The sequence below is a fragment of the Homo sapiens genome, chromosome 2, assembly GCF_000001405.40.
Source record: "Homo sapiens chromosome 2, GRCh38.p14 Primary Assembly".
Lineage (NCBI taxonomy): Eukaryota > Metazoa > Chordata > Mammalia > Primates > Hominidae > Homo > Homo sapiens.
The window spans coordinates 144,566,813-144,579,142 of record NC_000002.12 but is presented as its reverse complement, the minus strand read 5'-3'; the positions used below and the strand labels follow the sequence as shown (position 1 = coordinate 144,579,142).

At 35.9% G+C, this 12,330-nt stretch overlaps 1 long non-coding RNA gene across 1 annotated transcript in view, besides 2 other annotated features; it reads right to left on the bottom strand.

Moving 5' to 3' along the window:
* Positions 1 to 12,330, bottom strand: part of LINC01412 (long intergenic non-protein coding RNA 1412) — a 57,567-nt gene that overhangs the window by 292 nt on the left and 44,945 nt on the right. The window lies entirely within an intron of this gene.
* Positions 10,719 to 11,225: an enhancer, noted in NCBI's record as "OCT4-NANOG hESC enhancer chr2:145325485-145325991 (GRCh37/hg19 assembly coordinates)". NCBI's record gives its function as "activates a minimal SCP1, AML or CMV promoter by ChIP-STARR-seq in naive and primed H9 embryonic stem cells {active_cell/tissue: H9 hESC(naive and primed)}" and the evidence as "EXISTENCE:reporter gene assay evidence [ECO:0000049][PMID:30033119]".
* Positions 11,226 to 11,732: an enhancer, noted in NCBI's record as "OCT4-NANOG hESC enhancer chr2:145324978-145325484 (GRCh37/hg19 assembly coordinates)". NCBI's record gives its function as "activates a minimal SCP1, AML or CMV promoter by ChIP-STARR-seq in primed H9 embryonic stem cells {active_cell/tissue: H9 hESC(primed)}" and the evidence as "EXISTENCE:reporter gene assay evidence [ECO:0000049][PMID:30033119]".

The following is a 12,330-nucleotide window of genomic DNA, read 5'->3' as shown; positions in this document are numbered from 1 at the left end:
TGATAAATATTTCATAGTTATAAATATGAATTAAGATAACATGGAAAGGCACAATATATATAGGATATGTATTTATAAGATAATCAAAAACATTTAAGTGCCAAAGAACATAATTAATAACATTGTTTGTAAACTTTGCTTCCTTAACAGAAGATATCAGAATCATCAAGTCTTAATTTATTGCCACATCAGTAATATTAATTTGCCACTTCAGATGTGAAATATTGACTAAAGTGATCCACTTCAAAGATACACAGATCAAAAAAATAATAAAGGTATGGATGTGAAATATGAAAATTAATAGTTTGATTTGTGCAGTATTTAACATATTCTGAACACATTTTCATACTTGGTGAATATTTTTAAGTGTTCCAAATAAGATATAACATAGTAACATTAAAATTAATTATTTTCTTACTATTGATCAAACAAACTAATTTTTCCTGAAGTTTTACCTTTCTTACCATCTGTATTCATGACCTACTGAATTCCACAGCTGACTTTAGTGAATAATATTTTTATTCTAAGAACTGGTCTGAGGTTAAGAATTAAAAATAGAATATGAATCCAGGCAAATGATCAAACAGCCTGAGACTGGATAACAAAATCCTGACAATATGCATAAATCAGCATGTTCTTGCTACCCTTCGTTTTCTGGCAGAGTACCAAACATCAATCTGTGGTTCCCCATTCTATGATCCTAACACCTTGTTATCATCCTGGTACTAACAAAAGCCTGTGTAAACTTCTCCAAAGAAAGCAAGTCTTGATTTTTATTACTGGATTTTTGACACATATGAATAAGGCCAAAACATTTCAGAAATCCTTAATTATTTTTTGCCTATACATCAAAAAATAAGTTTTAGTCAAAGCCTTCATTTAGTTTTAGAGTTTCACAAAAAATATTAGTACTCTACTTAAACGTATTAAACTTTGAAATAGTCAAAAAATGAACATATAGCTTTCCAGTTATAGCACTTCTTACATAGTTACGTTGTTAATCATCATTTTATAAATACATAGAATATAGAGCTGGAAAAAATTAGAGATCATTTGTTTCAATTCTCTTATTTTAAATGTTAGAGAAAGAAGGTCTGAAAGGTAATATTCAAGTTCACATAACAAGAGTGCAGAAATTGCTTTCAGAAGCTTGCTTCAGAACATTCTGTTTGAATATTTTGTAATGATTATAGTGGACTAATTTTATGTCACTAATCACATTTTCTAAGTACTATATCCAGTATTATAATAATCATGTTGGGAGAATATTACACTAAAAGGATAAGTGAATAATAAAAAAAAGTTAATCATCTAGATTCTCCCAGCACCTAAGATGTTGCCTGGATGTAAGGTGTCTGTCTCCTCTTTAAGGTCATTAGGCTATTAGTGAATGAGTTAATAATGTGATAATACAACTGGGTCCCTGCTGACAAGCAGAGATTATGTAACTTGTAAAGATGCTGTTGACCAAGGAAGAGCTTAAATAAAGGGACTTTCTGCCTCAATTATATTGCTCTACCTTACAGTATTAACATACTGGCTATTCAACTACATCATTGCTATGACATTGTTTACCATCCAAATATTTAAAAATTAAAGCTAGAGAATCATAAGGTATGCTTTCTGAACCAAAACAGATGAAGAAACTGTGGAGATTAAGTGATTTGCCAAGATCAAACAGGTAGTTAGATATATCTAGAAACAAGAAGTACAGGATTACAGCATTTATTTAACAAGCAGATTTTGTGTCAAGTCTATAATAACTAACACCAATTTATCTTATGGAAAAAAATGAGCAGACCCTTCACTTTGGGGGTTAGGCATTATACCATTGCAAGAATAAGAATAGTCACTCTGGAGAAACGATAATTTTACCTGATCAGCAGGTATACAAAAAGATCACACTCCTCTATCAAAGTAAAAGGGTAAATACCAGTTAATACAACTGCATATCATGCTTTTGAAACTTGATTTCCTTTTTAAGCCTTTCCCTGGTTTCTATTTTTATAGTCTGTCATATTTATTACGAAAATGTTAGAAGGAAAATATGGTAAGTGTATATAGCATCACAGTTGTCTGTAGAATTGATCTATAATTTTTTTTGAAGAGGTAGATTGGGGTCAGAAATTTTTACTTAATTTTTTATCTTAAAAAGTGGCATGTTTATTATAGAAAAAATTATAAAGATAAGCAAAAAGTAAGTAGATAGATAAATAGATATATAACCTAAAATCTTGCTTCTCATGATACCATGTTAGTATCTAGCTTTTCAGAGTTTTACCTGTGCAAATATGCACACATAAATATTTTATCACAAAGATGAGGTCATGCTATGCAAAGCATCTTTTGATCTGACTTTTGCTCCCTAAGAATGCATTGTGAATTACTTTCCCTGGCAATAAAAACAGATCATCTTTTTGCCATCAAAATAGTCCAAGCCACCATCATCTCTCACCTCCTCTGTTCGAAAACCATACTAACTCACTTCTGACCACCTCTCCAGATGACTTTCTGCATTACAGCCAAAATGAGCTATTCAAATGCAACTCTGGTTATGTCATTCCCTCTCACCTTCTTAAAACATTTTATTTGTCTATAACAGAATTTCTCGAACCTGAGCACTAGTGACATTTTGGACCAGATAATTCTTCTTCCTCTTTTTTTTTTTTTTTTTTTTTGAGACAGGGTTTTGCTGTCACCCAGGCTGAAGTGCAGTGGCAAAATCTCGGCTCACTGCAACCTTCGCCTCCCAGGCTAAAGCGATCCTCCCACCTGGGCCTTCCGAGTAGCTGGGAACACAGGCGCGCACCACCATACTGGGCTAATTTTTGTATTCTTGGTAAAGACAGGATTTCACCATGTTGTGCAGGCTGGTCTCGAACTCCTGGCCTCAAGCAATTCTCTCACCTCAGCACCCCAAAGTTCTGGGAATACAGGCACGAGCCACTGGGCCTGGCATGGACCAAATAATTATGTGTTATGGAGAGCTGACCTGTGTATTGTAGGATGTTTAGCAGCACCACTAGCCTCTACCTACTAGATGCCAATAGGACCCTCACCAGTTGTGACAATCAAAAATGTCTCCAGACAGTGCCAAATGTCCCCTGGGGGACATAATTACCCCCAGTTGAAAACCACTGGTCTATGCCAACAACCAAAATCCACAGGATAGCACACAGGACCCTGCATGCTAATATGGACCCTCCCTGCCTCTCTAGCATCGTCTGACTTGACTCTTCCTCTTGCTCTTTGTCTTCTTCAACCACACAGGTTCCTTTTAAATAGCCTAAATTTATCTGCTCTGTCCTGCACAAGATGTTTGCCCATGCTGTTTCGTCTGTCTGATAATGTTCTTCATCTATCCATCTCCCCACCTTTTGCTTAGGTGACTTCAATTCATCCTTCAAATTCCATTTGAAGAATCACCTTCTCAGAGGTGTTGGCCGGGCACGGTGGCTCACGCCTATAATCCCAGCACTTTGGGAGGCCGAGGCAGGCAGATCACGAGGTCAGGAGATCGAGATCATCCTGGCCAACATGGTGAAACCCCATCTCTACTAAAATACAAAAAAAAGAAAATTACCCAGGCGTGGTGGCACGCGCCTGTAGTCCCAGCTACTCGGGAGGCTGAATCAGGGGAATCACTTGAACCTGGGAGGCGGAGGTTGCAGTGAGCCGAAATCGCGCCACTGCACTCCAGCCTGGCAACAAAGCGAGATTCCGTTTCAAAAAAAACAAAAGTCTGAATCCTTTGCTATGCGCTTTTATGGAACAATAGGCCTTTCTCTCAGACCTGCTATCTCCTTTTGTTTTAAGTGCACATTCATTAATATGATTGTTTCTTTACTATTTCCTTCTCTAGACTCAAAGCTCTGTGGACAGGAGCCTTGGTATTCTGAACACCTAGCACAGTGGCAGGTGCACAGTAGAAACTTGATAAATACTTGTTGAATAAATGGCTGTGCCAGAATCATTATATTTAATGGATGTTATAATTTTTATGAATGTACCATGCATGCTCCTACCATTCTGAGATTGGGAGTAGATTTTGAAAGCTGATGAGCTAAGTAAGAAAGTTTCAATGATACCTTTCAGGAAAGGCAAGTCTTTGACAGTTTCGAGCAGAGGTGTGATGAACCAAAACTTATGTTTAGAAAGATCCAACTAACCGTGCAAGTGAAAGGAAGTGGAAGCAGAGAGTTCAGTCAGAAAACCATTTAAATCATCCAGTTATACAGTAAAAATAAATTAGGATGGGTGGTGTTAGTGGAACTGAAAAGAAAGAGACAATTATAACAGAAATTGTGAAATAATTAATGGAACCTATTGATGTGTAGGACTATGCCACTTATCATTCAAATGAGGAAGAGCTGGATACTTTTCTACATCAAAGTCAATCTTGACTTGCAAAGTAGTCAAAAGGGCAACAAAAAGTCGTTTATAAAGATTGAAGATCATGAAAGAGTCCACTATTCTCCATATGCTCTGTTTGTTTGTTTGTTTGTTTGTTTGTTTGTTTGTTTTGAGTCACCCAGGTTGGAGTGCAGTGGCACAATCAGGGCTCATTGAAGCTTCAACCTCAGGAGCTCAAGCCATCCTCCCACCTCAGCCTCCCAAACTGCTGGGATTACAGTAGGTGTGTGCCACCACACCTGGCCTCAATATGCTTCTAAATGGATAGAAGAGCCAATATTCTCAAGTAAGGTCATCCTTACTTGACAGGGTTGAAGCAATTTTCCTGAGCCTCAGGTTTAAAGGTGAGAAGGGATGGCTATCTCACATGTATGTCAGGCTATATCCCAAGGCCTCATTGGTATTAGAATAGTGGCTGATGGGGATCTATAACACCTCTATTCCTAACTTCTGATAGTAGTTCCAACCCTGCCAACAGTTACAGACAATATATGTGTAAGAAGAAAATATGTTTCTCCCAGCTATAAAAGGATGTGGCTTCATCAGACTCTGTCTTTTTGGATCCAAAAACCAAAAAGAATTCTGGTTCAAATGGTGTTTGGCATTAATACAAAGAAGAGAATGCTTCCGTCAGTGAAAGTTAAAAGCCACAAAAGTCTGCCTAATGAAGATATTGAATACGTCTTAGTTCACATATGCATGTTTATAATTTAAGATAATTGAATTTTTATAATTTTATATAATTTAAAGTTATAATTTTTATGTAATTTAAGATTATAAATTTTATTATTTTTATGTAATTTAAGCTTATACACAGACCAAGGCATTGACTATTAGATATGATTTCAGGCATTTTGAGAGAAAATGCCCTAGACTTTTCTAAGTTTGATCAGAGAAACATTCTGAATGGAGTCTGTTCCCACTGTTAGCATTAGATATGTAAAGGTATATGTGAATCTTAATTTTTCCAGCAGGATCAGTTGTGTAATTTATATTCATTCTCATCTCAGCTGCACTAATTTATAAATCCTAATCCTAATTAAGATCCATACATAGTAGCTGCTATATAAATAAACATATAACAATTGTATTATTTTCTATTGTTTACATTTTAAATTATTCATTAGGATTCAGCTAATCAAAATAATTTCATCTGTAGGCGAAGACAAATTTGGTTCACTTGCACAACCAACTAAAAAAAATCCTCTGAGTAGAATTTTAGCATTACAGACATGTTAAGATTTTTTTAGTTCATATCGAATCTGCCTAAAAGTATTTTCCCATCCAGCATGTTGAATTGCAGACCATCAGAGCTCTCGTTTACTATCTTGTAATGCAACAAACAAAACCTACTTTTGTTTGTTACCTAGCTCCTATTGGTGACCCTGAAAAGATCAAGTTACATCTGACTTTCTTATTTTTCACTGGTGGTGTCAATTCTTCTAGTGACAATTACATAGGGCTGCTACAGTTTCTGCTTTCACTCTTAAGGGGCTAACTAGTTACTAAAGTTGCCTATGAAACCCAAGAGTAACCCACAAAGCACAAGTAGAAATTGCATATGCTCATCTTTCTTTATTGTTCAAAACTAACAACCTCATGAAAGTTTCAGAAGATGTCATAGAGTCAGACCTCTAACATCATGGCAGTTTGAAGAGAATAGTGGTTCTATCAATAAAATGTCAGGGAAGATTTGCATGGTGAACCTCTGACTCTACTTCAAGGGATGCAATTAGATAAATATGCTAGATTTAGAGAATTGATCTAAAAATGTAGCTGCAGTCAGTTCCTAAGGACTTCAGAATTTTAATATTTATGAAATACATTAATTTTGTCAAAATAGGGAGAATCAGACAGAAAGAGCTGTCATGGGTCCTCACTTTGCCAAGCTAAATCATAAAGAAGGGTTACTAACTCTGCCACTGTTTTCCACGTGGAGACCAGATCTTCTTTTGACTACTGGGTAGCCTCTCCCTGTCTCCACAGAAGTTCACGTTTACTACATTTGACCTCTGCACCCAGCACTCCCAGACCTCTCTAAGTATGTGCCTATTGTAACATCAGATGGAATCTTTCTGCCTCCCTTTGCTCCCAATAGTTTTAAATTAGCTGAAGTTAACATATTTAATTGAGAGCCACATTATAACATTGTTCTAAACACTTTGTCTTACATTACATAAGACACTACTGGGATTTTAAATTTCCAAGTAACAGATCATCTTGAAAGAGGTTACAGTCAATTGTTTAATAAAGTGAATCACTGAAACTTTGAGCTCACTGAGGTCATTTTAAGCTATATTCTGTGATACTCCAATTAGTTCATTCAGTGCATATTTATTAAGTCCTACCATGTATAAGGCACTGTGAACCAGAACAGACATAGGTTTATGGAGTTCCAGGTCTCATGATGGAACCAATACTTCAGAACTTGTGTTCAATTATAAGCAGATATGAAGACCTTTTTTTAAAAAACAAAAAAAGTTTGCTGTATTTGATACAAGCTCTCTCATCCCAGCCTTCTACTCAATTATCTCTTTAGCCATGCATATTAGTATTTGACAAAGAAACTCATTTCTAACATCTTTATATGGTGGAATTTATGATGTCATGGTTAAAACAATGGTCTTTGGTGTCAGATATGTCAGAATGCAATGCTGCTTCTGCCACTTACTAGCTTTGTGATATTGGTAAAAATCCCTTAATCACCCTGAACCTCAGTTTTTTCATCTGTAAGGTAGAAATACTTATTTTTTTGGTGACGTCATGAGGATAAAATGAAACAATCTGCATGGAACCTTTAGCATATATTCTCACATGTAGTGGGCATTCAATAATTGTTTTCATTATAAAGAGGAGAGTTTGGGTGAGGAAAATGTGCATGATGCATTTGGTAACCAATATGACTTAGAAGTACCAGTAGATACAGTGGCAGAACTCTCTTCCACTGATAAGGGAAAAAAATGTAAATCTTGATGGAACCACAGGAAGCAAAATATCTAGATCTAGAGCAAGGAGAGAACCGTGGTGCTGGGGAGAAAAGAGCATCAGGAGTATCTTAGCTAGGGTTCCACTAAAAGCAGAGCCTGAAACAAGGAATAAGATGCATGTTAGTTTTCCCTAGAAATGAGAGGGCGGGAATAGCGGGAATAAGGAAGGGCTGGAGGAAAAGCCAAATAATGTTCCTAAAGGGTACCTAAGATTCCTGCTGTTGAAAATAGGACCTCTGAGAATGCCTAGTGCTTTTCAGAATTGCCTGTTCAAAAAATCGTTGGCGGGAATACTTATCACAAAGATTGCCCTGGCAGGTGTTAATTCCCCCTATATTTCCATGCTAGGCCTGAGGGAGGAATCATGAAGCAGGCTTCTGCAGCCTGGGAGAAGGCTCTGAGGCAGAAATTGGGATGATTCACAAAGTGTTCTAGAGGTGGGACCACCCAGGCCCAGCCTAGGTTTCCTAGGAACTGTCCTCTAAAGCTATAGTGAAATCAGTAGGGGGCATGGGGCTCCAAACTTCTCTTCTACAAATAGGCCTCCTGATAAGCCATGGAAAGCATCAGAAAGTGAAAAATGCTACTAGCAAAAGTGAATGCTGGCCCCAAAGATAAATCAGATATTTGGTTTTCTGGAAGCTTTGGCTTAGTTTCTAGATTATTATTAATCTAGCCACTAGATTATTGTAACCAAAGTTAAATGAAACAAAATAAAAGTGCAAGGACATAGAATCTTTCCCCTCCCAGAAGTTCTTACCAGGGTTAGAATCACAAGGATTTTAAACTTGGCTACCTATATAGTCAAAATACTGCCACAAAAAAGATGTGGCTTCACTAACATAATATATCATTGCATCATTCAATTCTCTACACCTATAATCACCGAACATTCTAGTCAAAGCCTGATCGATGTAAGCTACACTCTTCCATCTTCTCTAATGTCTCTATATTAGTCAGGCTGATGTCACAGTATACTGAAAATGACAAGTCACAACTTACCCTAGGAACATGATACGGGAAATTAAACTCAGCATTAAGGAGCTAAAAAGCTTTTGGTTTCTATTTGAAGGGGGCAAGCTGGTTGGCCTATCTGGTCTGACAGTAAAAGGTAAAATCATTTTAAAATAATAATTTCTCAGTATTCAGTCACATATTCAATGCATGGCTGTAATTTCTATCCAACCAAAGTACTACCTAAGGTTGCCAGATAAAATACAAACATTGCATGGGACATTCTTATCCTAAAAAAATTCATTAGTTATTAGACATTCAGATTTAACCGGGCAATCTTTATTTTTGTTTACTAAATCTGGCAACCCTAGTGCCCCTTCCAAACAAGAACAGAGAAAGAGCTGCTTATTAAAACAGACCCCAAGTGTTTTGGAATGATGTCCCGTACGTTTTAGGACTTTCCAGTAGCAGCAATATTAATAAATTGATATCTGAATTAACTGTAATGGTCTACATATTGTTTTCTTAGGCATGTTTTTAAAAACTTTTCAAAGCATTTCAATAATGTATTTTGTCACAACATGGCCATTTGTATCTTGAAAAAATATTGTGATGGTAAGAGGAAAATCCCATTTCAAATCCTTTCAAATGAACTTTCAAGAGACTCTCATTTACTTCAGTCAAGTAAGCATACCTTAAAATGTTTTCATATTATTCACTTAAATATTCTCTCATAAATAAATAAAGTTATTAATCAACTTGTAAGTCCCAGAACCATACCGCAAAATTCTTTGATAAAGAAACATCCAAAAACCACATGGAGAGTCACATCATTTTAGTTGCAAGATTCCTGTTCCAGCTCACCTTCCAAAACAATTTCAGTCAAGTAGAAATGCTCTGACAATCCTCACTCAGAATAGCAAATAATCCCTGCCTTTTCATTCATTCACTCATTACCTCTCTAAAACGAGAATGTGCAGTTACCAGAATTTTATACAATTAGTGCTCCAAGAGTGTTTTAAATGCAAACCTTTAAGAGGAAAGTAAAAACAAATCAAAGTTAATTGTGACTGGCTGAAACAAAATGCTTAAATCAATAGAAGGATGGCTCATCTGCTCATCATTTACCCATTACCTGGGAGACGAACACCTCCTGCTGTGCTTGATTTTTGATACAGATTTACAATTGCCTGTATCCTACACACACATGCCAAGGAAACCCAGACCTTCTTTGGCTCCCTCTCTCATTATCTTCTTTGCACTTAATAACCTTATTCATTCTTATTTTATTATTGCTTGTGTGCTCTTCTTTGCAAGGTAGGCCTATACACACACACAAAATTAGAATTTTAAAACCTTATAAAGAAGCTAAGGACTTTACTGCAAAGCAGTCAGAGAAGGCACCAATATCTATCTATGAATTGCTGTCTTCCCTCAATTAATCATAACCTGATTATTATGATTTTCAGAAACCCCCCAAAATAGAATACAACTTCTTTCATAAGGCATTCATTGGGGAAAAAAAGTTTGTTAAAATATTAAGATATTAGAATCAAATGAAGAGAAATAAAAGCCCTCTTATTTGGAAATCTAAGGTAGTAAATTATTTACTGAAAGGGCAGCCTTTAAACCCAGACACAGTGTCCAGGTGACAGACCTCGGGGAACAGCGATGACCAGATACCTCCTCAGAGTTGGAGCCTCTGGCTTTTGAAGGCCACAAATACTCTTCACTCTTATCGATAAAGACAAACTCGTCTTGAGACCTATGCTGCCTCTCTGCAAATGCCCTTTACCATAGCCAAGTATCAAAGAAATGGAACGTAAAATGTACCTGCAACTGAAGGTTAATACCTAACCCTGAATTAAGTATACACCAAATTTAGGTATCTTCGCAAAGATGATTGTGTTGATACATTACTTTTTTCAGACAACCATACAAGTGAAAATCTTGCAGCTTATCCTAGTAGTAGAGGTAGTAGTGATGATTTCCAGGGAAAAAAGACGTAAAAGATCTTTGAAATAAATTCTAATTTTTCTTATTCTATTTGATGATTAAACAGATGATGTGTAACTACTACCACCATATATTTACTGGCAATTACCTTCTGTTAGCTTTCTAGCTATGTTTTTTACTTGTACATATGGATTAGCTAATATAAGAATATAGAGATGACCACATGTGAATAGCACATGGACTAATGCTATGTTACATTTTTAGCCAAGTACACCCAAATAGGCCAACCAATCACATGAAAGTTAGAAATACGGTTCCCATTTTAACATCGGAGTATAAATATAAATGAAAAAATCTAGGAACACATCGATACAACAGAGAAAAACAATAGCATAGTGCAAAGGATGGAAATTTTGATGGTGTACAGAAGGAAAAAGAATAAGGAAAAATCTAATACAAGTGATAGTCAGCTTTAGCCTTTCAATTGACTGTTGGCTTATATTCCACCACCACTTCCTCAGTGTGACCATTTTAGTTATTTATTTATAGGACAAGACATTCATAACCAATAACAGGGTTGTAATGATAGTAATGTAGGATTTATGATACATTTAAAAAAAAAAAAGCACCTTTAACCAACACTAAAAAGCCACCAAGGATCGGGGTGAAGGGTAGTTACCTAGCTCACGGTTTTATTTAGTGATGGTTCCACTTTTTCACTCGCTGCCTGCAAATCAGCATTTTTAGTGGACAAAGGACTCAGCAGCGGCCTTATGATTGCTTCTTTTCAAATGGTAATGGCTAGCCTAACTCCTCTGCCAGGTTTTTCTTACCAGAGCACAAATTGCAGTTTACAAGGCTCTGAGGGGGAAAAAAAATCTTAGCTGAATATCTTTTTTTTTATTCGACAAACTGACATGTAAATTACCCTTTAAGTGCTCCACTCTAGGGCTCTGATCATCTCCTAATTGTCACAGTCAATTGTAGCCAACAGTCTCTTCAATCCCAAGCGCTTTGACAACAAGCACAAGGATCAAAGCAGAATCAGCTCCCTGCAATATCCTTCTGTTTAGGATGCTACAAAAAGCCCGCAAAAGAAAGGTGTAAGGGCATTGCTGTAGAGGAAACTGAGAGTAGCAAGTATTACAATAGTCATTTTTGTCATCTCTAAAATTATGCTGTATAAGCTGCCATGATCTTTAATCACATGTGCAGAACAAATACATAATTAATGTGCTCTTAAGATTATACTAATAATTGAGCTTTACAAACAACACCATCTCCATGGCTTAGGAAAACTATAACACTGTTATGGGATAGCAATCATTTCATAGCAGCTTGAGCATCAAAAACTATTGTCAAACATACTCCATATTTCAGCATAAATTCTAAAGCACAGTTTTGATTACTTGGTTTGGTGTCAGGATTCACTGCTTCTCCAAACTAAATAGCCCATTGAAAATTCTAGAGTTTCTTAAAAATTAAACTAGAGAGATATACCTAATGTTAAATGACGAGTTAATGGGTGCAGCACACCAACATGGCACATGTATACATATGTAACCTGCACGTTGTGCACGTGTACCCTAAAACTTCAAGTATAATAAAAAAAAATTAACCTAGAAATGTCCAACTGGAAATGTGGCACCAAATCAATTAAAAATGTGACACAAAAACTAATTTCAGAATAGATCTTCTTTATTTTTTCCTTACCAGAGGTAACTCTGTCTTACTGCTTTACTGGAAACAAACTTATTAAAACTCATTACATGATCTACAAACATAATCCCTAAATAAGATGTAACTATGAGGATCATTACTTTATAAAATATATCAATTCTTTCTAACTAAGGTAGTTACCATATATCACTAACTTTTTAAAAAGAATACTAATGTTTTTTCAAAAGATATATAATTTCATCCTATCAATTATAACGATATAATTAATAATTCAATAGAGAGAAATATCTAATAACAAATCTGTATAAAATAGCTACTTTAAAAATAGCCTAAGGGTTGT